This window comes from Homo sapiens, chromosome 2 (genome assembly GCF_000001405.40).
Source record: "Homo sapiens chromosome 2, GRCh38.p14 Primary Assembly".
NCBI classification, from domain to species: Eukaryota; Metazoa; Chordata; class Mammalia; order Primates; family Hominidae; genus Homo; species Homo sapiens.
In genome coordinates this window covers 136,222,800-136,247,840 of record NC_000002.12, presented here as the reverse complement: position 1 = coordinate 136,247,840, position 25,041 = coordinate 136,222,800, and the positions used below count along the sequence as shown (strand labels likewise).

At 44.8% G+C, this 25,041-nt stretch overlaps 6 annotated features.

Moving 5' to 3' along the window:
• Window positions 3,164-3,664: an enhancer, noted in NCBI's record as "H3K4me1 hESC enhancer chr2:137001747-137002247 (GRCh37/hg19 assembly coordinates)". NCBI's record gives its function as "activates a minimal SCP1, AML or CMV promoter by ChIP-STARR-seq in primed H9 embryonic stem cells {active_cell/tissue: H9 hESC(primed)}" and the evidence as "EXISTENCE:reporter gene assay evidence [ECO:0000049][PMID:30033119]".
• Window positions 3,665-4,165: an enhancer, noted in NCBI's record as "H3K4me1 hESC enhancer chr2:137001246-137001746 (GRCh37/hg19 assembly coordinates)". NCBI's record gives its function as "activates a minimal SCP1, AML or CMV promoter by ChIP-STARR-seq in primed H9 embryonic stem cells {active_cell/tissue: H9 hESC(primed)}" and the evidence as "EXISTENCE:reporter gene assay evidence [ECO:0000049][PMID:30033119]".
• Window positions 5,388-5,682: a silencer, noted in NCBI's record as "tiled region #14513; HepG2 Repressive non-DNase unmatched - State 23:Low". NCBI's record gives its function as "represses a minimal TATA promoter and a strong SV40 promoter by Sharpr-MPRA in HepG2 cells {active_cell/tissue: HepG2}" and the evidence as "EXISTENCE:reporter gene assay evidence [ECO:0000049][PMID:27701403]".
• Window positions 8,603-8,672: an enhancer, noted in NCBI's record as "active region_16586". NCBI's record gives its function as "activates an Ori minimal core promoter by ATAC-STARR-seq in GM12878 lymphoblastoid cells {active_cell/tissue: GM12878}" and the evidence as "EXISTENCE:reporter gene assay evidence [ECO:0000049][PMID:35858748]".
• Window positions 10,902-12,101: an enhancer, noted in NCBI's record as "CDK7 strongly-dependent group 2 enhancer chr2:136993310-136994509 (GRCh37/hg19 assembly coordinates)". NCBI's record gives its function as "activates an origin of replication core promoter dependent on BRD2, BRD4, P300/CBP, MED14 and CDK7 cofactors, with strong dependence on CDK7, by STARR-seq in HCT116 cells {active_cell/tissue: HCT116}" and the evidence as "EXISTENCE:reporter gene assay evidence [ECO:0000049][PMID:35650434]".
• Window positions 11,305-11,805: an enhancer, noted in NCBI's record as "H3K27ac hESC enhancer chr2:136993606-136994106 (GRCh37/hg19 assembly coordinates)". NCBI's record gives its function as "activates a minimal SCP1, AML or CMV promoter by ChIP-STARR-seq in primed H9 embryonic stem cells {active_cell/tissue: H9 hESC(primed)}" and the evidence as "EXISTENCE:reporter gene assay evidence [ECO:0000049][PMID:30033119]".

The window sequence follows — 25,041 nt, the reverse complement described above, 5'->3', positions numbered from 1 at the left end:
GATCTGTCACTGGTGAACACACCCACGCACGTTGCCACTGGCTGATGACTAAGGCAGCAGCAGGGATGAGCCAAGGGATATTTCTCTCTGGCTTTCAAAAGGAGCTTCTCTCTGACTTATTTCTTGCAAAAGATTTGGCAGACACATTCAATACGAACTTTCCACATAATAAAATTTCTCGTGGACAACTGATGAAGTGTGTTGCTTGGTAAGTGAAGAAAGCATAGAGTGTAGGCAGCAAACTGGGTCTCCATTTGGAGAGTGAGGGAGCAATTCTGGGTGAGGCAGAGAGTGAGCATATGGCAGAAGCACAGATGTTAGAGCTGGAAGACTCTGGGCTGCCTAAATTTATATTCTGCCTTCACAGTGTTGCCCTGCCTGCCTAGGTCTCCACACTTCCAGCACAGTGGCCACAAGCCACACGTGGCCATGAGCCCTTGAAATATGCCTGGGCCATATCAAGATGTGACATAAAACACACACCAGCTTTTGATGAGTTATTACCAGAAAAAGTCAATTAGGGCTGGGCGCAGTGGCTCATGCCTGTAATCTCAGCACTTTGGGAGGCCAAAGTGGGTGGTTCAGGAGTTCAAGACCAGCCTGGCCAACATGGTGAAACCCCATCTCTACTACAAACACAAAAATTAGCCGAGCATGATGGCGCCTGCCTGTAATCCCAGCTATTCAGGAGGCTGAGGCAGGAGAATCACTTGAACCCGGGAGGCGGAGGTTGCAGTGGGCCCTCAGAAAAAAAAAAAAAGTCAATCAATAAAATCTCTCAATAATTTTTCTAGTGATTACATGTAGAAATGGCATTTTTGATATACTAAGTTAAATAAAACATCTGTTATTAAAATCACTTTCAGCTACTTATTTTTTATTCCCTGTGACTCACAGAAAATTTTAAATCATGTATGTGGCTCCCATTTTGTCTCCCATTGTATTTCTAGTGGACAGTGTTGACCATACTAATATTTACCTGATTGTTTTTTCTTTAAATTTGACTTACCTTTTTTACCTAACTAAACTTAGTCTTATCCCAGGTACCAATAACCATGAAATCATAAGTTTGATGTGCCAGTTAAATTTTTTCTAATAAGCATTAAAATAAATATATAAAATAGCCTGTCCATCCACTACCTAAATTTGGTTTGTGTTTTGCCAGTGGTACCCAAAAGCGCATTTGGGGAAACACGCGTCTAGTCTAAGCCCTTTGACACCTAGGAAGAGGGAAAGAGAACATGGGGTCCGAGGCAGAGGCAGCCAGGGCTGTTTAGTTTAGTATCATCTGTGAGTTGCAGGGGGTTGGGATTACCTGGGGCTTCCAGCTGCGGGAACAGCCCCCCACACAAACAAGCTCCCAGTCACTCGCGGGCATGGACCATAGATTGCGTGACTCTCAGCACAGAGGGAGTGGCTTCTGGTCACACTCTCTGGGCTTCCACTCAGCCCTGGCATTTCATCACGTAGGCGCCGTTCTTAAAGGGCCAGTAAGAAGTGCAGCTTGCTTTTGAGTAATCGTGGAGGCAGGCCATGCCCTTCAATAACCCCTGTCTGCCCCGCTGCCTGTCAGACCACCACCGGCTTCCCTCTGCCTCTCCCTCCCCCACCCCCCACCAGCACTGCTTCTGGGTGGTAGTTGCCATTGCCACAGTTCAAGGCTCCTTTGGCTCACAGCCTGATATCGGGGGAGGAGTTTGGTTTTGTCCTTTGGCCACAGTCCTCCTGAGAGGCTGTGTGAGCCCCTTGCCTTGGCCAGGGGTAAGGATCCTCCCACGAAGATGAGAGGCCAAACCAACAGCCCTGTCCCACAACTTTTTGTAACCCCCTAACCCAGCAGGTGCTTGATCAGTGCAAGTGAGGAGCCAGCCAGGGCCGGGGTGGTAGCGGGGGGGGGTGGGGGGGGTGGCAGTAGGTTCCTACTGTTTCTGCCTAGATCTCCCCTCCAACCAGCAATGTTTCCTCCTGAGGAGGAGGAGGAGGAGGCTTGGGGCCAGTCCCAGCAGCCAGGACTCAACACAGGTGCAAAGTGAGAGAACTCTGGCTTTCCTCAGAGGAGCCTTCTAGAACATTTTGGGCCCTTTAAACTGGCCCCCGCAGGAGGTCCAAAACAGTCTCCTCACAGACATCAGGGCACGCCCAGCAGTGGTCCTGGGCAGCTCCCCGTTTTGTCAGTCTTGCTGTTGCTTCCCCAGCCTCCCTGGCGTTCTCATTCCTCAGAGCTCCCGTCTGCTCTCAGTCTTCTTCATGTCTCAGGCCTGCCCCGATGGCCACTTTCAGCTAACGTGATTTCAACCTTCACCCAATAACCAGATATAAGCTCCTCACAGCCCCAGCTGAGATATTCCCTGCCCCAGAGCGGACGGCGGGAAGCCCACCAGTCAGAGCAGCTCCCGCCTCCCTGACATGACAGAAGAATGCCCTGCCCAGAGCCCGGCCTGTCCCCTCAGAAGAGAACTTGAATGGCTGCACCCACACACAGGGCTGGCAGGGCTATCTAGTTCCTCAGGAACCCATCTGAAGACCAAAATGGGAATTTAGTGGGAGTCCTGGCCTTCAATCCCAGCTCGGCCTCTATTTACTCATCTTTAATATTTTTTTGTTTGTTTTTTTGTTTGTTTGTTTTTGTTTTTTTGAGACAGACATCTCACTCTGTCACCCAGGCTGGAGTGTAGTGGCCCCATCCGGACTCACTGCAACCTCCGCCTCCCAGGTTCAAGTGATTCTCCTGCCTCAGCCTCCTGAGTAGCTGGGACTACAGGCATGTGCTGCCACACCCAGCTAATTTTTGTATTGTTAGTAGAGATGGGGTTTCGCCATGTTGGCCAGGCTGGTCTCGAACTCCTGACCTCAAGTGATTCACCCACCTTGGCCTCCCAAAGTGCTGGGATTACAGGCATGAGCCACCATGCCTGCCCATTTATTCACCTTTAAATGGGCACTGGGATGTTGTGAGGTCACGTAGAGTTGAAGTGTGCAGCTTGAAATGCTAAGGAGATGAGGGAACACCAGCAAGGAATCCAAACTGTTTGTGCCTTACCTCCATGAAAATGATAACAATAGTGAATAACCCTGGAGCAGTTACAATATGCCGCCTGTTCTTAGCAATGTATCACCTCATACAATCTTCATCACAACCTGAGGGAAAAGATTCAGAGAGGTTAAGTCACTTGCCCAAGGTCACACAGCTTCTAGGCAGCAGAGCCAGTCTGTCCTTAACCTGAGTGCACTGCCTCCTTCCCTGTGCCTTGTAAGAGATGGCAGAAAGGGAGAGGGGGAACCAAGGAGAGGGAAGGAGGAAATATATTCAGTGCAGCTGCCCCAACGTCCCTCAAGGACAAGCACAAAGGGGTGGTGTGGACAAGCATAATGCAATTGGCCCAGGTGGCTTCCTCTCATTTGTCCCTCTTATCACCACAGTCCCACACTCAGCAGAGTCCCCTCAAGGTCATGCACCACACGCCTGTCCCCAGGGGTCTGTGACAGGCTTTCAGGGTCTGTGCGGTTGACAGCTTGAATTTGACAAGATCTGTGCTGAAAATGAAGCCCCTTAACTGACACAGAAAGCCACCCCCGGCCCTCCCTGGGGGCCCCCCGTGATGGATGGGCCTCTCTCTGAGGCCTCAGTGGGCCGGCTGGGGAGGACCGAGGTCCTCAGGGCCTCGCTGGAGCTGGCAGGAGGTCAACTGCTGTCTGAATGACTGCTCTGTGCCAGCCGCCTCTCTCTTCCTCAGCACAGGCCAAGGTCTGTCTTTGGCAAGCTCCACACGCCCCAGAGGGCTGGGCACACTCCTGCCCCGATGCTCCCCTTTCTCTCTGCAGGGACAGGCCATAGACCCCACTTCCAAACCCCATTTCTCCTCACAGCCCAGGGCCTGAAGGGAACCCGCTGGATGCAAAGCCGAGGTAACCTCTCATCCTATTGTGCCATTCCTTGTCCACCTCCTATAGACACAGACACACACACACTGTCACAAAACGACAAGATGGTATGCATGCCGCACCTAAAGGGAATCAGGGAATGAATTCATTCATTCACTGATTCATTTATTCAACAAATTTTTGCCTGGCACCTTCTAGATACCAGGCCCTGCTGTGGGCACAGGGGACATAACAGGGATGGAAATAGATGTGTCCCTGTCCTCAGGGAGCTGACTATCTGGTAGCAGTTTTGCATGCGGGAGCTCCTGGGAAGAAGAAAATGCTACAGGATTTTTAGAGGCCATGATCCCAAATGCAAAGGATAAGGCTGTGGCAGGGCAGCACTCCCCACTCGCAGCCTCTGTCTTGCTTTCTTGCCTTCTCAAGGTATTTGCTACTCAGCGAATTCCCTGACTACAGGTTCTCCAAACCAGTTGTGTTCAGAGTCTGGCTGTGAGTATCTTAAATATACAGATTCCTATAAACCTACTCCTAGAGATCCTTCTTCTGTAGGTCTCCAGTGGAGTCCAGGAAACTGTATTTGTAAAAACTTTCCTAGGTGACTCTGAGACATATGCAGGTGTGGGAAACCCTTACACTTAGCTCTGAGTTCCTTATTTGTTACACTTTTTTTTTGTCTTTTTTTTTCCTTTTTGTGGAGAACGGGGTCTTGCGACATTGCCCAGGCAGGTCTCAAACTCTTGGGCTCAAGCTATTCTCCCACCTCTGCCTTTCTAAAAGCTGGGATTACAGGCGTGAGCCACCGCGCCTGGCCCGAGTTCCTTATTTGTCTAGGTATCTGTAGGACCTAGATCAGTGTGGGAATGAATGAATGAATGAATGAACAGACAAATACATGTTTGAGGCATGTTTGGAAGCTTGCATGTGGCTGTGGTCAGCAGTAGAGGCTTAGAGGACTGGTAAAGCAGTGTGGCCCAGAGTTGCTGGGCTTACTAATACCACACGATGGGTACACAGGATGGGGGCAGGATGTGGGTCCCGAAGCCAGCAGGCCTGGGCCATCTTGCCAGTAGAGTCAGATGAGCTCAGTGTATGTGGAGTGCTGATGACTCAGAGGAAAGTGGAGTTCACAGTCCACAGCCATCTCGGAACATCTCAGAACGTCCCACAGCCCATCTGTGCCAGGTCACCCAGAGATGGAGGTGGACAGACAGTGTGGGATGGCCCTGCACCCTGAAACTCCCAGGCACTACCTTGCATTGTCAGTTTCTAATTTTACACACACTGGGGAGAGGTCTGCTGTGGGCCAGGCTGGCCACCAGCGCTGGGTAAGTAGGGACTGGCCTAGCCACAGGCCTCAAGGATGCCGAAGTCTGGTGGGGGAGACAAGCATGGAGAGAGACAGAGATGGCAGAGGCCAGGACAGGAAGCCTCTGGGCATCCTGGCTGAGGACAGGGTGGCACACCCAGAGGAGAGTGAATCGTGGAAATGCCGAAAGCTAAAGAGAAGGTAGGAACCCTAGGGCTGGGGTAAAAATGTATAGGGTTCAGTTGGAGAGTGATGTGGAAGGATTCCCACACTGAGATTTCAGTGCAGTTTCAACCACTTCCTAGCTATGTGACCTCAGACTTGACCTCCCAGAGCCGCAGTTTCCTATCCCATAAAATAAGAATGATAATAATTCCTACCTCTCAAGATTATTGTGTTGACAACACAAGAAATCAGGTGTGAGAACATGAGCACACAATACGTACTCAATAAAATGGAACAACAACAACCACTCACTGAGCCCTTTTCATACACTTCTCATATGTATAACACAACCTGAAGGAACTGTCTGTCCTTAGCCCCAGCTTTCAGATAAGGAAACAGAGAAGAGAAGGAGATAAATGGTGAAGCCAGAACATGAACCCAGGTCTGTCGCATGCCGGAGGCTTCACTGTAATACTAAGCCATAAGCAAATATATTTTTGAAAGAGAGGATGTTCAAAAATCATAGTATCTCTGATTATCATGATAATCAAAAGTAGCAGCTTATTGGAATTTCATTCAGGATTAGAAAAATTGGTCTGTATCCAGAGGATACTACTAATCTCTTCCTTGTATTGAGGACTTACTGGGTGCAAGGCACTGTACCAAGCACTGTTAGAACACCACACAAAACACCTTGGTTTATTATTTTATAGATATACCAAGAGGGACTTGAAAAGATTAAGTGCCTCCCTAAGGGCATTCGGTAAGTGAAAATGGCTAAGCCAAGATTTGGACGGAAGGCTCCTAGTCCTTGTTGCCTTGTTCCAGTCCAGTCCTGCTGTACTGCAGATTCCCACCAGAGATCACAGAGCAGAACATGCAAAAGGTAAGACTCCTGGGACACATGAGGTATTTCCCAGATGATATCCTCACTGGGACTGGTATCAGACTTGGTGGAGGTGAGAAGGAAGAAAAAGAAAGGGAACAGAGACAGAGTCCAACCCCAGGGTGAGCCGCTGTCCTTTCTACAGGCCACCAAGAAACTCCTGCTGCCCTGATTGACCTCTGTTAGAGCTTCAGGGACAGGGTGTAGGAAGACACCTTCCTACATGGAAGCAGCAATTAGAGGGACTCTAGAAATCTCATTTCACCGCAGGTGTCCATCCCTTTCTGGTGGCATTGATAACTTTGTGATGGCCCCATCTGCTTTGGATGGCTTCTCCATAAACTCCAGGCACGTCAGATTTCTTTTGTCTGTATGGGTGAAAGGCCATTTGTTGTTGTTTGCTGGTTGGCTGGTTTGGTTTCTTTTTTGAGATGGAGTCTTGCTCTGTCGCCCAGGCTGGAGTGGAGTGCAGTAGCATGATCTCAGCTCACTGCAAGCTCCACATCCCAGGTTCACACGATTCTCCTGCCTCAGCCTCCTGAGTAGCTGGGACTACAGGTGCCCGCCACCAAGCCTGACTAATTTTTTTTTTTTTTGTATTTTTAGTAGAGACAGGGTTTTACCGTGTTAGCCAGGATGGTCTCAATCTCCTGACCTCATGATCCACCCACCTCAGCCTCCCAAAGTGCTGGGATTACAGGTGTGAGCCACCGCGCCTGGCCAGTTTGGTTTCTTTTGTCAACTAAAAATGAAATGCAGGCCTTCTAAACTGACGCTGGATGTGGAAGCCCACTGACAGGTGGGTTCCTTCCCTCTCCCCATCTAAAACCTCCCATCCATCCATGATGCCTGTCCTTCCAACCTCATGAGGTGGCTTTGGAGAAGAAATGAGGTCATTTAAAGCATTACAACAAAACAAGGGAGTTTTTGTTTGGTTTGGGATTTGGTTGGTTTTTCCCTTGTTTTAAGTCATGACACTGAGCAGTATTGCCTCTCTTTCAATGGGTAAGGTAAGCACTTAATTCTGTAGTTCTAACTGAGGAATATGAAGGCCTGAGCTGGGATGTTGCTGAGCATGTGTGTCTCACATGTATGTGTGTGCACGTGCACACACACACACACTCTTACACAATTAGCCAGACAGACTTCCAACATGCCCCTCCATCATCACCCAGGTAAGACAAGTGAAGGGAGAATTCAGAGACAAGAGATTTTCCTTGCTCTTGTGACCCTATTGGCAGAAACACTGGAGGCCTAGACATTTCCACAGCTCCAGTGGTCCCACTGCTTGAGGTGAAAGTAGGAGAGAAGAGGAGAGGAGATTTGGCCTTCACCTCCCATGCCCCTGGGAAGTAGGGCAGTCAGAGGCAGCTCATCTGGAAACTGAGCCTTTGTGAAGTCCAGCTACAGCCTTGGAGATGCTGGTGGAACATACCCACAGCCATGCTCTGATTCTTCACAGCTGCCACAGCTAACCATTGCTTTTGCTCAGTGAAGACCTCACATGGAGAAGGAGCAGAATGTCAAGCCTCAAGTGTTTGTTTCTTTTTTTTTTTTTTTGAGACAGAGTCTCGCTCTGTCGCCCAGGCTGGAGTGCAGTGGAGCGATCTCAGCTCACTGCAACCTCTGCCTCCGGGGTTCACGCCATTCTCCTGTCTCAGCCTCCCGAGTAGCTGGGATTACAGGCACCCACCACCATGCCTGGCCAATTTTTGTATAGTAGAGATGGGGTTTCACCATGTTGGCCAAGCTGGTCTTAAAATCCTGACCTCAGGTGATCCGCCCACCTTGGCCTCCCAAAGTGCTCAGATTACAGGCGTGAGCTACCATGCCCAGCCTGTTTCGATGTTTTTTATAGATTCCCCCCGCCACACCCACAAGCTGCCATTGCCTTTAGGTAGGACAAATGTCCTCTCTTCTCACTTATCTTAGACAATTCCTTAAATCCATCCCTCTACTTTGACTAAAATATAAGCTAAGTCTGGAAAAGCTCAGGCCAGGAAGCTGTGTAAGTGATATCATAAATGTTCTACTCATGGATATAAATGTCTTAGGGCTTTGTCCCCTTCCAGCAAAAGTCAGGCCATTCTGTGGAAAGAAAGGTTAAATGAAGTGAAAATTAGTGACTAAAATGTTCCTCTTTCTTTAGTGAGAAAAAGCAAATCTGCATTTAGCAGCTTTTCTGCTGTCCCAACTCCAGGTATTTAACTGGAGCTAACCACTTTTGAAGTGAAGAGAAAAAGGGAGAGAAGTGAACCCAAGGATGGGAAAGGAGACAGGGCGAGACACCAGAAGGATGGCTGAGCCTGTTATGCCCAAAGCACCCTCATTCTAGAGCTGCATCTACGGGACTGGTAGTTCTCCTTAAGAGAGAGAGAACCACCGTTGAATTATTTGTAGGGACAGGGCAGAGATCACCCACTCCCACCACATCCACACAAGGGGGAGAAAGTCCCAATGTCTGAAAAACAAAAACTTATAAATAGGGAAGTGTCTGAGGCTAAGAAAACCAGCAGACACCTGACAATTTTCCTTACGCAAATCTCAACTAGTATACCAAAACAAGTGACTAAAGCTGGCATCACTTATGAAGAAGTTGACCTCTGTTTTCTACAGTCAGATGACTAGAGTCAGAGTCTTAAAAAACAGGAAGTGCCAGATGTAGTATCAAATGACCCAGACAGTGAAAAGTAAGGCAGAAAACTAAATTGGAAGACAGGAAGTCACAATCACACCACAAACAATACAGATATTTGTCTGAGATATGCTTGGCGGGGTGCCTTATCACGGCCAGAAAATGGAGGAGCACGGCCGAGATGTTTAGCAGAGGCCAGGCCACCAGCAAGGGCCAAACTGACACCCTCCTGGAAACCTCTTCTCTGCAGCTGAGAAAAACTTCAGGGCTTATATTGCTGGATGAAAGTGCCATTTGCAGGCTTAAGGCCAAATACCATTACTAAGCCCTGGGATTTAGCTCCTGAAAGAAAATCTCTGGCCCTCCCCCACCCCACCTCCTCCTTGCCCATCGTAAGAGTAGTGGCCCTCTAGTGTTTCTGGCAATGATTCCTCCTCCAGGTAACAGCATGTTCACCTTGCCCACCCCTCCCCTACTCTCAGTCTCCACTCAGCTGATTTGAGTTGGCCCATGATGCTGACAGCAAACCCCTGGTCATACTGACTGATTCAGGAGTTACCCTTTTGGAGCCCACAAACATGACTCCTGAGATTCTGCTGGAACTATTGGGAAATATAAGCTGTTCATCAACTGGAATTACTAATCTGGTAGCACAAAATCTTAACAGCTGCCAGAAGCTACCATGTGGACAGAACCTGCTGGGGAATTAAAACCAACACAAAGGAAAGCAGCACAATTAACACAGAGAAAAAAAAGAGACTTTGTCTTTAGGATTTGATTCCAAACTCCTGGATCCATCTTTACCTGAAGCTAGGCCACACTGCTGGATGTTTCAGCAGTGAGTCCAATCATCTCTTCTGATGGTTTCAGCTGGGAATCTGTTCAAAGAGTTATAATACAGTAAGCAAAGGGTCTAGTTTCTGGTCTTTATGAGGTATTCAGCAGGACCCTCTCTCCTCTTCATTTGTACTGATTGTCTGCAACTATATTCACCATGAGCCTTAAGCGAAACTTCTTTGTCTCTCTGAATCTTTTCTCCTCTGGGATAAAGAGGTTCAACCAGAACAGGACTCTAAGGTCCTATGCTGAAATGATGATTCCAGAACTTCGTGATATTCTCCTGAAATGTTTCAGATCCATTAAAGCTCAGAATACACTCAACTTTACATTCCAGTGAATGATTTCTATACCTTTTCTATATAGCCCAGAGGGTCAGTATTTGCCTGGACACTTTTTCAATATTACAGAAAACAAGTAAGAAAAATATAAGTTATCTGGAAAATATTGGTTGAGGAAAGTTCTTCAACTAAACATTACCTATGACTCTCTTCTCTAAAATCGAGGTGGCCAAAAGCCACAGGTATCGGAGATGTAAAAGTACTGCCCGTTTCTGCCACCCAAGATTTCTGTGGTCCCTGGGTAGGTGGTAGACTGCTAGTACCACAGACAATATGTGAAGGCACAGTCCTCAGGAAAATACAAGTTCCTTTAAAAAAATTTTTTTGAGACTGTGTCTTGCTCTGTCACCCAGGCTGGAGTGCAGTGGTGGGATCACAGCACTGCAACCTCAAAGTTCCTAAATTTAATTGTACACCTTTTTGATGAACTTTTTATTATCCAAAATTATTTAGGCTGTAAGTGACAAAAACACCAGCTCAAAATGGTTCAGACAAAAAAGCTTATTAATTTGGCTTGTGTAATTTTTTAAACGATCCACATTCAGGTACCCAGGTGCTCAAACACTGTCTTCAGGAACATGTCTCTCTCCCTCTGCCTCTTGGTTTTACTTTATTCTCTGGGCAAGCTCTTCTTATTTATTCATGTAGATAATCTACCAGCAGCTCCAACTTTATACCCTACCAAGTTAGCAGCCCCAGAGGAAAGCAAGCACCTCTTTGTCAATAGTTACATAAAAAACCCCAGAGCTAATACCCATCGGTCCAGCTTGACTTATATGTGTCCATCTCTGAAACAAGCACTATGATGCCAACTGGCCGGACCTAGGTCACACACATATGCCAGTACTCCAGAGGGTGGGGTCAGCTCTATCTGGCCCACACATTGGCTAAGGCTGAGGAAGGGATGCTGACCCCAAGGAAAACTAGAATGCTGCTTCTAAAGGAAGGGGAAATGGATGTGTGGCAGGGAAAAAACAAACACTGCACAGCTCTTGAGCCAAATACAAAAGGCCCAGCCTGGGGTGCAGTATGTTTCCTTCTAAATGGAGGCATCATTCTTTTCTCAAATGGGAGTAAAAAGCCCTATAGAGGGGTAGTGAAGAAGACACAGGAGGTCAGCTCCGTGGGCTGGAATTGAGGGTCAACACAGGCATTTGTCCCATGTGAAACAGCAACCAGTGCTTTGCAGGGCTGTGGAAAAGTTTCATTATTATGTATGAGAAGAACCTAGGAGGCATCTGATGTTGTCAAGGCTGTGCCCTGAGATGTGTTTGATGCCTTCCCTCTGCTCATTCAGGCCCCCATCTGCCTGGACCATTAGGCACTGCCACCATCATCTATGTGGTTAGACAGCACACATAGACCAGGGCCAGCCACTGCAGAGGTAACCGGCACTACCAGGCATCTCACAAGAGCATTGGCATTGAATGGCCTCTCTTTCTATCATGACCAGCTCAATTCCACTGATATTCCAGCTGGATCATGGCAAAGGCCTATTGACGAAAAACAATAGGGCTAGATCAAGGCTCTGGTGCACCTGAGTCACTGTGAGTCATATCCCCTGGAGGACCTTCTCAGCTCACCATTGTCATTAGTTAAAAAGACTCACGTAAGTCCGGCACACAGGAATGTCAAGTAGCAGCCAAGTTTGGGGGTGTTGTCCTTTGGCTTGGAAAATAATTCTCCACTAAGAAGTCCACTGATAATGGCACTCAAATGTCCCCCAAAGGTTGTTAATTTTAATTAGGGAGAATTTAAACTATAGCATCCGAAGGAATGACTAATATTTTAAAGAGTATGAGGTATTTGGTTTGCTTTGCCAGTCTTGTTTTAGCAATTTTGGTCATTCCTAATCTTCTGCAAGGACTTCCAAGGCTGAGTCTTAAGTCTGGCAAAGCAGAAACCACCCTGGTGCCTCCAAATTTTCCACCACCTTCTTCTTCACAGTATAAAATTGCCCAACCACCGTCACTCACGGACCCCTTTGTCCCCTTCTCTTCCCCTCCACCCCATAGAAGTTTGGCTGACAACCACGGTAAATGCTAATGGAAGAGATGTTGTAACTAAATGGCAGTGCATTTATATCTACATGTGTCTTCTGCAATATAAGATAAACAGACTAATCTTCCTCACCAAGCTTAGAGGGATAACGAACAAAAATTATAGTTGAGTAACCTGCCAACATAAATATTTCACAAAAGCTAAGCCACAGTAAATGGAGCCAAATTGTAGAATTGGAGTGGGACTTTCCAACAAAGATCTCCCTGAAGCATTCTCAAGTTCATTCTCTTAATAGAATAATTTCCAGTTATTTTGATATTTGGTTTTTCTAGATTTACTACCATTTTTACCATACTGATGAAATAAGTACTAATATTCATTTGCATAAAACAGCGATTTATTAGACACATGCAATGTGCCAGACATTATGCTAAACACTTTATATGGATTATCTCCTTTATCCTCAGAACAATTTTATGAGAAGGGGCTTCATTATCACCATTTTGCAGATAAGGAAATTGAGTCTCAAACAGGTGATACGATGTGGAGCCAGGAATCAAACACAAGCATCTCACCCATGGCCCATGTTCTTAACAGGGTTCATACCACATTTCCACATATGGGAAGAATCTGTGGCCCAGAGTGGTTACATTAGAGCACCTCCTCCCCTGAGAGCCACACAAGGGCCCATACCACCTTCCAGTTCATGGCTCCACCTTTGTCCTGCTCTCACAACCTTCCCAGACCTGGCCTATACCCACGTCTCCATCACTTTCCCATTCGCGGCTGCACATTTTCTTCTCTGTCCCCATCCATCACTCAGTTCCCCACCACCCCTAAATGAAATACACAAGCCAAACTTACTCCCACTGCTAGGCTTTTCTGCAAGCTGTTTCCTTCCCTGGAAGGCCTGCCTCCTCTTCGCCACCATTGGAGACCCTGGGTCAAGTCCCATCTCAAAACACCACCTTCTTACACAGCCCTCCTACCCTCTCTACCTCCTAGAAACTCATTTGAAGCTTAAATACTGCCTTCTGATATTGGTTAGCTTTGAATGCACACATATTATTAGCCCAACTAGCTTGCAAACTGCTAAACAGCATGAAACACACAGCCTGGCTCCTTTGAGTCACTTTCGCACCTAGCACAGGGCCTGGCTGCATCACTCAGCTCAGCCCCAAGGCAGTCAAGATAATTGAGTGCGTTCCAGCTGCAGGGGTATTTGGTATATATAAGACATCCCACATAACTGTTGGTTTGTGCTTGATTACCGTAACACAGCCCAAATCAATCCCTGAAAAGGGACAGGCCACAGTAGAACCAGTTCCCAGCTGTGACACCCACGTGGCCGCCCCTCACAACAGTGTGTCTGGGGCTTGTGGGAAAGCCCTAGGAATAGCCAGCTGTTCTTGCACATTGGAAGCTAAGGCAAGGATGCTACATTGGCCTTGGGGTGGAAACATGTACAGCATGCTTCTCAGATCCTCTCCGATCCTGAGTGTTCGAAAAAAATACCACTTACTGTTTTTGTTTTTATCATTCTCTAAGTAATACTATTTATGATTAAAAATAAAATAAAATAATGGGCCAAGTGCAGTGGCTCACACCTGTAATCCCAGCACTTTGGGAGGCCAAGGCGGGTGGATCACCTGAGGTCAGGAGTTCAGGACCAGCCTGGCCAACATGGTGACACCTCATCTCTACAAAAATACAAAAATTAGCTGGGCATGATAGTGGGTGCCTGTAATCCCAGCTACTCGGGAGGCTGAGGCGGGAGAATTGCTCGAACCTGGGAGGCAGGGGTTGCAGTGAGCCAAGATTGTGCCACTGCACTCTAGCCTCAGTGACAAGAGTGAGACTCTGTCTCAAATAATAATAATAATAATAATAACGGAAAATATGAAAAAGTATGAAGAATACATTTTTATTGTCATCTATTATCTCATCTTTTTGGTGTATTTCCTTCAGTTTGTTTTTTTATATCTGCCTGGCACTGTGCTAAACCATGGAGATTTTTTAAATGTGAAGACCCATCCCAGCCCTCAAGCCTCTTGCAGCCTAGGAGTGAAGCTTACAAGACAACAGTAAAAGATCATACAATATGAAGACTGAGGCAAGTACAATGGACTAGGCCATGGAGTATGGAACACACAGAGGGAGAAGTAAAGACAAAGACTGAGAATTCTGAAAGGGCTTGGCATTTGGTTTTCAACAGCACAGTTACTGAGATCCTGCTATGTGCCAGAATGGTGAGGAACTGATGAGATCCAGAGACAGGAACTGACTTGTTCAAGGTCACTCAGCTAGTTAGGACCTTGACAGTTATTTTTGCAATACTTACTGATCATCTATTCTGAAACCACAAGATCCTAAAGAAGATTTCATTTAAATGAATACACACAGCAAAAAAGTGGGTATATACACTTTTATTTATATAAAATATATATACTTATATATATTTATTTTTATTTTACACACTCACATACACAAAGATACCCTTTATCAGGCTCCATGTTGATGCATACAAAATGCACTTACTTTATTGAAAAGATTGAAACTACATGAATTTGGGGAACATCCTGGAAAATCTGGGACACATGGTTTGGTCACCATAATTATACTATGTGCTTTTTCTCAATCCAATAGGGATTTCTTAAAATAGCCTTGCATTCCAACAGGATATAAAACCCTGTTGAAGATGCCCCAATCTGGAATCAAAGAGTCAGACTGGCTAGAAACAGATCTGGTTCATTTCACCCTCCAACTAAAATAGGATGCAAAACTAAACAGTGTCGTTAGAGAGACAGAACTTCATTTCCCCCAAACAGTCCTTTTAACCTAGAAAGCAAGAGGCCCTGGGCCATTGGCAAGCAGAACAATTTCTTGCTATTTTGCATTTCCTTCCTCAGAACTATCTTTAATAGTTTGAGCCATGGAGGAGAAAGAGAACAAACTAAAATTAATTTTTAATTGAATAAAACAACAAAATAAAGCACAGGCAGAAGCTCCCTAAGCCCCAGAATTCTACGTGCTGTGAGTCCAGGGCTCAGTTCATACAGACAAAAGGAATGAGGAGATTCGAGCTCTGTTCTGCCTGATTAATCCAACATTGTTCAGCAAAGGTCTGTCCCAATGGTTAGAACAATGACTAGATGATAATCCAAAGCCCTCCGTGAGCAGTTAAAAATGAATTTGTCTGAAACGTTCTCAGTGTCTACTGAGCAACATCAAAGGAGCTCAGGGCACAGCCGACTTTATGGAGTAACAGGTTTAAAAACGAACATTTTTCAGCTTGCTAACTCTAAAAGCCCAATTTGTGTTCTCAGAATCCAGGAGAATAAATCACCCAAGCAAAGAAATAATAATACTGAAGACATATGATGCAATTCCAAAAAACCCATTGTATGCCAATTATTAAACCAGAATGCTGATCACATCCTTATCAAAGCTGTATGTCACCTTGTAGATCACAGGAAAACATGATCTACAAAATAGAATAAAAATCACACTGTGAACTTCATGAAAAACGACTAAAGGAACTCTCTTAGTTCAGCAAAAAAGTTCAGGCTGATCGCCATTTTTTGATGACCTTCTTGCATGGATAAACTCAAAAGCATTTTCTTTCTCCCTTTCTCTTAGCAAGAATAATTTTGTTAAGAAACCATTTACAACATCCTGATGAGCTGCACCTAGAAGATGACGTTCTGGCAACAGGAATTCCCAACACAGCAGAAGCTCCTTCCAAGCTCTGAGGCTGAGGAAGTGGGGAGTTTGGCTGGTTTTCAGCATCCATCCAACTCACCGATCCTCCCGTTTTGCTTCATTGTGTGTGCTGCTATCTTCCACACATCACTGGATCCAAACTTTCTTCTCCCCAGAGCCCTTTCATTTCATTCGCCTTTTCTATTACTCTCTGGGTCTGTTTACTTTCCTTCCCAAACTTTGTTAATTTCAGCAAATACATATATTAAGCACCTACTCTTGCAAGACACTACATCACTTTATTTCTCTTTGTAACACTCCAACATACCCATTTTCCTTCCTCAGAAACGCTATCTTCTAGATTCTTTAAAAATTCTGTGTGGATAGGAGGGGGATGATAAGTTCTTGTGAAATATTTCAGACTTACAAAAAAACTACAGAGTAATATAACAAAACATCTATGTACCTACAGCCCACGTTAAAGGATAAAACATTAATACAATTGGCATCTCTTGTGTACCCCCTCCCTGGTCACGTCTCCTCTCCATCTGCCCAAATATAACCACTAAAGTGAATTTGGTTTTTATTATTCCCATGCATTTTAAAACATTTGTACTCAGTATGTCTATATCCAGTCACAATTGGATACACAATATATAGTATGGTTTCACGTTTTCTTAAACTTGACATGCATGGTTTTTCTTTATACACACATTTTCTTTCTTCTGTTTGCTCTTTTGCTCAGCATTGTGCAGTTGAAAAGCCATCCATGTTAATACATGTAGCTCTTGTTTATTCCACTCTCATTACTGTCTATTATTCCATTAAGCAAGTTCACCCCCGTACATTTATCCAGTCTCTGCTTGATGGACATTTGAGTTAATTCCAATGTTTTTGTTATTACAAGCAGTGCCACTGTGAAAATTCTTGCATGAGGCTTCCTGCACACATTCCCAATATCCTCTTTAGCTTCACCTACATATTGAATACCAGAGGAGTTGCTATTCCTTAAGTTGTCAATGAAACTCCTTCTGACCCAGCTATATTTCCCCCCGCCTGAACTCTGGCCCTTTTCCATCTCATCCAAGCTACTTTGATCAGTGAGGCTGAAAAATTCCAATAGATACCACCCCCAGGCTCCCTGGTCTTCAGCTCTGACTCTCGTCAACATGCCATGGAGCCAGGGAAGTTGCATTCCCATTCTGTGAACGTCAGTGCAGAATCAAGTCATGGAGCCAGGGAAGTCGCATTCCCATTCTGCAAACCTCGGTGCAGAATCAACTCGTTGCTATTGGGTTTTATATGACACTTCTGACTCACTGTTTGTTCCCTGACACAAAGCAGGTGATGCTATCCTGAGAAATTAATTTGGATTTCCTTTACACTTTAAATTGTAAAACAAGAATGAGCATCTCAGCCTGGGTGGTCTGTTTCCTAGCTTATTTTTCCTAATCCCTTTCCCCGCAGTTGGCTGAAAGCACCATTATCCGCTCCTAGCAAGGTCTAGGATGTCATGTCCCAGATTTGCTCAGTTCATTTGGATTGCTTTATTTCCTTTACCATCTCTCTTGTCTGTGCTTCCAGATGTTATTAAATAATCTTCTAGATATGCCTTTAGGATTTGCTGCAAAGACACTTGAGATAAAGTATCTGTCAGAACCAACCTGGTAAGAATAAATGGGAAATATTTGGTATGAGAGTTGGGACCTTCCCTCCAGCAGTGATTATTCCAAGACAGGACAGTTTCCGACTGAAGACAGAGTCTCTTCCACAGTATCCTTTATCAAGACATTAAAATCTTCCTCCTAGTGCCTAGAAGTCAAATCTCCTTTTTATCATTTGCTTGAATACTGTTTTCTTAATGACTTTACAAGAAGGATACATGTGAAGAGTCTGAATAAAACGATGATAGAAATAAGGATATTTGAGAAATCAGAATATTGAGAAGGAATACTTGACTAATAGCGAAGTGCAATAAACTGTTAATAGCCATAATCATTGGCAATCCAGGCACAAAAGAGAACTGTTTTTTTTTAATGGAATGATTTTTTTTTAATTTCAATAGGTTTTGGGGGAACAAGTTGTATTTAGTTACACGGATAAGTTCCTTAGTGGTGATTTCTGAGATTTTGGTGAACCCATCACCTGAGCAGTGTACACTGTACCCAGTGTGTAGTCTTTTATCTCTCACCCCCTCCCACCATTTCCCTGAGTCCCCAAAGTCCATTGTATCATTCTTATGCCTTTGCATCCTCATAGCTCCCATTTATGAGTGAGAACATAAGATGTTTGGTTTTCCATTCCTGAGTTACTTCACTTAGAATAATGGTCTCCAATTCTGTGTGGGTTGTTGCAAATGCCATTATTTCATTCCTTTTTATGGCTGAGTAGTACTCCATGGTATATATATACCACAATTTCTTTAACCACTCGTTGATTGATGGGCATTTGGCTGGTTTCATATTTTTGCAATTGTAAATTGTGCTGCTATAAACATGTATGTGCAAGTATCTTTTTCATATGATGACTTCTTTTTCTCTGGATAGGCACCCAATAGTGGGATTGCTGGATCAAATGGTAGTTCTCCTTTTAGTTCTTTAAGGAATCTCCACACTGTTTGCATAGTGGTTGTGCTAGTTTACATTCTGATCAGCAGTGTAAAAGTGTTCTCTTTTCACCACATCTATACCAACATCTATTATTTTTTTGCTTTTTTGATTATGGCCATTCTTGCAGGAGTAAGGTGGTACGGAATTTTGGTTTTGATTTGCATTTCCCTGATCATTAGTAATGATGAGCATTTTTTCATGTTTGTTGGACATTTGTGTATCTTCTTTTGAGAATTGTCTATTCATGTCATTAGCCCACTTTTTGATGGGATTGTTTGGTTTTCTTCTTGCTGATTTGTTTGAGTTCCTTGTAGATTCTGGATATTAGTCTTTTGTCAGATGTCTAGGTTGTGAAGATTTATCCCACTCCATGGTTGCCTGTTTACTCTGCTGATTATTTCTTTTGCTGTGCAGAAGCTTTTTAGTTTAATTAAGTCCCATCTATTTATCTTTGTTTTTGTTGCATTTGCTTTTGAGTTTTTGGTCACGAAGTCCTTACCTACACCAATGAAAAGACAAGATTCTTTACCAAAAAATGGTATCAACCAAGACAACAAAAGGAACTACTAATAACAAAGAATACATGAAGAACACAACTGAAATATACATCCCCAGTGGACTTATATATTATAAAACTGGTGTTGGGAAGGAAGACAATACCTTCTAAAATTGCCACTTGGAAATCTAAATTGAGAATTTGTCACCAAAAGCATGTAGGGCAAGTCTTCCCCATTGAGTACATATTCCTTGATTTACACATGCACACACACACATACACATATGCTCACAAAGCATGAATGCACATATGCATGCACACAGTGTATGCCTGAAACTTGCAAGTACTTTAAATGTTTACAAGTGAAATAGTATGGAAACATTTCAGAGGTGCTTTGTCTTTGCCACTAGACCAATTATGCAATTATATTCTATTTAGTGAGCCTTCATTATAGTCTCACATTGTGCCAGTTACTTTTATGAGGATTTAATACACACCCAAACTGAGGCAAATTGCTTCATATGTATTATTTCATTTGCTCCTCACGCCTCCTCCTTTTTTTCATGAGGAAACTGTAGTTTCAACCAGTAAATAATCTACGGAAGTTTCCTCAGTGAATGAAGAGCAGAACTATGAACCCAAGGTTGTCTGTTGGACTCCAAAATCTAAGGACTCAAGCACTACCCTAACCTGGGTCCACACAAAAGACAACCATGATACTTAAAATCTTTTAGTCCTCGCAGTACCTTGAATATAGTAGGTGTGACGGATGAGTGGATGGAGGGATGGATGGATGGATAAATGGAAGGATGGATGGATGGACAAATGGACAGATTGGGGAGATGAAGAGTGTTTTTTCTCTCCATAATAATGGATGTATATAAACAAACATCCTTCTGGATATGGAGAGCCTCTATTACTATCTATAGTAGGTAGGTAGGTAGGTAAGTAGGTAGGTAGGTAGAAAATCAAAACACTTGATTTATCTGTTTCATGAATTTAATTTTCCCTTAGAGTTTCCTTTAACCTTTGCATCTCAATATACAGCACAGATGGAAGTATTTAGAAATGAGGTTTCCTAAATTGTGCCTTTATGCCCTGAGCTCATTTGAGGAACACATGAAAATAGCAAGTCTAGGGCCTAATCCCTACATGGATCTGGTGGTTTCACCAGCTCTTGCCATACCAAACCTTTCTGTGCAGCCAGCTGCCTCCCCTGAACAGGAGAGGCCTGGCCACAGCAACCTCCAGGAAAAAAAAGGTTGGGGGGATGTCTGCACACCCACATCTGCTATATAGCAACCCCCATGCCCCAAGCAGAGCCACAAAATCCTCTCCATATAAGGAGATCAGAATTTCTCAGGATGGCCAAACCTTGAGCATGAAATTAGGAAACCCAAGTAAGGAAGAAAAAACCTGCACATGAGCTGCATGAAGCACTGGCACCAGGGCTGACACCAGAGCCAGGGCAGTCCATGTCTGACCAGCCACAGGCCCTGCACAAGTGGGGCACTCCTACATAAACACTGATGGGACACTCTAGGAAGGTTTTTGCACACATTGTTTAATGAATCTTCATCTTGCTGACGTTCATATTGTGTTGATCCCATTCTGCAGATGAGGTAAGGTTTCCAAGAGGTCAGATGATTTACAGGACAGAGCCAAGAGTCAAGCCCGAGTCTGTCTGATTTCGAAGCTAGGATGCTTCCAAACACACTGAACTCCTAATGGTCCCTTCCTGTTCCTGACCCATCCATCTGTCACCCAGCTGCACAGTACAGCTCCCCAGGTGCACAGTAATGTGAGACTTAGTTAAATAACAGTAGTAAAGACCCATATAAAATGTTTACAGCTATATTAAGTTTTCCTCATTGCAGAGTGACTGGGTGCTTCCTGCATCTGATGAGCATTTGGCTTTAAGATGTAACCAAGACTGCTCAAAGTACACAAACACAGCCCACAGGAGAGTGGACACTGTGTCAAAGGTGGGGAAATGACCAGTGTGATCCATTTTGTGTGCAAGCTACGACGATGCTAGAGACTTTGGTCCAGTGGGTCTCCCTGAGATGAAAATAAGACCCTAGTGCAAAACAGTAAGCATGTTGATGCATGTTCCTGGGAACACAGCTTTCACCTATTTCCCAAAGAGGAGCTAGGACCCCCCAGAAGATGGGAAGCATCATCTCAGGGATTCCTTTTAATGACCAATTTTTTAGGTGTCATCCCAGGGCAGCTGTGGAAAAGGCTCAGTGTCAGCACCTGTTTGGCATTCAAAGCCAAACACAGGCTATATTCCAAACCTTCTGTGCTTTGTCTTCCAGGACAGGAAATGCAGATTAACATCCTAAACAGACCCCTCTCCAAGTTAAATTCAGGATTCTCCTGAATCCCTGTCCAATCTGCCTGCAGTACTTCACCATGAGCTACAGTGCTTGCAGAGCTGTACTGTGTTCATTACCAGGCACACACTTCACAGCTGATATCAAATTTCCACAGACAACAACTGTGAAAGCAGGCAGCTAACTGGCCCTTAGCTGTTAGCCAAAGAGCATAGATTCTCAAGAAAGAGAAGTCAAGGATGAAGCCACGGCAAGATTGACATTTGGAATCTAAATTTGACACTGCTGGAAAGGTCCAAAGCCCTCAAGCCCTTGTGCTCTGGAAGGCATTGTTTCACTAAAAAGGGGAAGGATGTCCCCAACAGGTCAAGCAAATGTTTTCGGGACACTGTGGGGTTCCCAGCCACAAACCGCGTGTCAAAACAGAGACCTCGAAGGTGTAGGCATCAGACAGAATTGACGTGAGGCCAAGGGAACAGGAAACAATAAGATAATAACCCTCACTGAAGCCTAGAAACCAAGACCAAACAAACGCACACCCAGGGTCCCTGGGATGTCACATCACAGGCCTCCTGCCAGGGAGTGCTGAGGGGGCACAGAGCTGCCCTCCCTTGCCATCTCTCTGAAGCCCCCACCTTGAATTCTATGCAAAAGCTGTGCTCCCCTACAGCTAGTCTGGAAGGGAAAGAACTTTCTTTAAACTACAGCTGAGGAAGTCAAGACTTCAAGAAGCAGTTTGAATAGCAGGGAGCTGGATAGAGAGCAGGCACAAGATCCAAAGTTTCCTCCACAAAGAATCAGTCAGGTCTGCAGTCTCACTTTTATATCTAATAGGAAATCTAAGGAGCAGAGGACATGGCCCCAGCAAAACATTATAATAAGAAAACCCATGATATACAATGTATGACTTCTTACCATAAACATGCATTACTTTTCTATTTCTTTAAAAGCCACTAAAAATATAAAAAATAAAAATTCAATGAAGTAGATATCATGGGTATTATTGTCACCACATTCTATGAGTAACTCCTGTACCCAAGATCACATAGTTAACTAGTGGAGAACTAGAACTCAGGCCTTCTAACGTTTAACTATTTCTTCAGTTCACCTCACCAGAGGCATCTAAAATAGCTGCCTGGTTCCAACTTTTTATAGGCGGTTTCGTAGCAGTAAAGGTGACTTTACAGGCCAAAGGAATGGTGACTCCCTTCAGATGTCAGCAAGGTGGGAGAAAGAGCCTGGATGACTGTCTTATTCAGCTGAGGCTTCCTGTATACTTTGCACACACAGATGACAGCCTCCCATGCCCTGGGCACTCCTCAAGGTTCTGGGAATGCAAAGGTGTTAAGAAATGGACCCCAGGCCAGGCGCAATGGCTCACGTCTATAATCCCAGCATTTTGGGAAGCCAAGGCGGGCGGATCACAAGGTCAGGACTTCGAGACCAGCCTGGCCAATGTGGTGAAACCCCATCGCTACTAAAAATACAAAAATTAGCCAGGAATGGTGGCACACACCTGTAGTCCCAGCTACTCGGGAGGCTGAGGCAGAAGAATCACTTGAACCCGGAAGGTGGAGGTTGCAGTGAGCTGAGATTAAGTCACTGCACTCCAGCCTGGGCAACAGGCGAGACTCCATCTCAAAAAAAAAAAAAAGAAAGAAAGAAAGAAATGGACCCCAGCTGCCTGAGTTCTCACAGAGCATGGTGGGGGGGCAGAGAAGTAAAGAGAATTCACAACACGGCATGAGAGTACTGAGATGGTAGTGGGTGCAGGATGCCACAGCAGCATTTACCGATGTTTATTGGGTCCCACATTAGGCCAGGCCCTGGGGATTCAGGGACAAATAGGAGGAGGTCCTTATCTTTGAGGATCCCTCTAGCCAGGGGAAGTAAATTAACTCAGCCTAATGGGATCAGCCAATAAGTGCTTTAGTGGACATTTGAATAGAACTCAGAGGATGGAGGAGAGGATTCTGAGCTGCAGGACACCTGGCACTCACTGTGCAACTAGCAAAGGCCCACATTCAGTGCTGCCCAAATGCACTGCCGTCTCTTCTGCCGCTGTGGTCCTCCACCCTTCCCTCTGATTGTTAGAATAACTGAGAAAGTTCAGGGGTTCGCTTCACTTCAAAGCGATTTTCCTCATTGTAGTTGTTCTTGCTGTTCTTGTGAAGCAATCCTTCAGCTCCCTGTTTGCCTTCTCCTTATCATTGTTTTCTCTGCCAGACCTGGTGGGGTCTTCAGAGAGAAATCCATTCGGGAATAACCCTCCTCCCAGAAAAGTCCATCAAAGGCAGCTCCTGTGGGTAAAAGGCTCCACAAGCGGAGGGCAGCTGTAGGAACCACACCAGATGCTCTCGTGGGTCAATAGGTCAAGCCCAACAAAAACTCGAGCTCATATTTCTGAACCTGAGGGCCTCAATAAACTTTAGAGGGCATTTTGAGTATTAAGGTGATACTTGTAAAAATAACTAGAAGTGTGGCATTTCTACTACGGTGTGAAAGCAAAGTAAAATTGGAAATGGCTGACGAATGGCTGTCATGGAGTCAAGCAAGAGAACTGAAAAACATGCTGGGAAAAGAAAACACTTGAAGAGTATTCTAAATTGATCCTCCAACACAAGGAGGCAGTTCAAGTGTAGAGGTTGGATATAAATCGAAAGGGAGCCTCAGTCCTCTGGAAGGAAGAAGGAAGCCTGAGAGTATTTGCAGGTCTCTCCATGGAGCAATAACACAGAAGCTAACAGTGAACGTTTTCTTTTTTTTTTTTGAGACAGAGTCTCGCTCTGTCACCCAGACTGGAGTGCAGTGGCACTATCTCGGCTCACTGCAACCTCTACCTCCTGGGTTCAAGTGATTCTCCTGCCTCAGCCTCCCGAGTACCTGGGACTACAGGTGTGTGCCACCACACCCAGCTAATTTTTGTATTTTAGTAGAGACGGGGATTCACCATGTTGGCCAGGCTGGTCTCAAACTCCTGACTTCAGGTGATCTGCCCGCCTTGGCCTCTCAAAGTGCTGGGATTACAGGCGTTAGCCACCGCACCCGGCCAGTGAATATTTTCAACAGCTTGCTTTCTTCTGCTAAGCACGGCGCCTTGCTAAATAAAGGTGGATCCTAGTAAGCATTGCTTAAATGAATATTGTAGTGTGATTATTTTCACTAGAATTATGTTTGCATTGCAAATGTTGGTGCATCTATTGATGTGGCCTATAGGCCTTCACATTATTTTTATAAAGGCAAATGAACTAAGGGGATGGCCCCACGTGTCTCAAGGCCTCAACCAACTACTCTTCTTCCTTTCTGTCCCTCTCTCAGCAGCAGGAAATTTGATCACTGAGCCTATAGCAAAGGCAACCAATCAATAGCTCAGAGTGGAAAAAGCCCATCTGGGAAAACTCATATAACTGACCCAGCAGAAGGGCGGTAATCAGAGTACGCCTCATGCCGTGTCCCTACTGGCCAAAAATACACAAATTTGGGAATACGTATAAGCAAAAAAACCTGGTAGATTACTATAGAAGAATTAAGATAAGGATCAGGAAAGGGAACAGTTTGATGGAAATCAAGAACCTTTGATTACTCATCTCCTGCAAGGACAATCTGAGAGAAAACACAGTGACATCATTAACCATCAATCATTTATTTTTGGTTCCAGGCCACTTCAATAAAGCAAATGATGCTAAAGCAAGCCATATGAATTTTTTGTTTCCTTGTGCATATAAAAGTTATGTTTACACTATACTGTAGTCTGTTAGGTATTCGATAGCATTATATCTAAAAATGGTACATATCTTAATTTAAAAATACTTCACTGCTAAAAAAATTCTGACAATCAT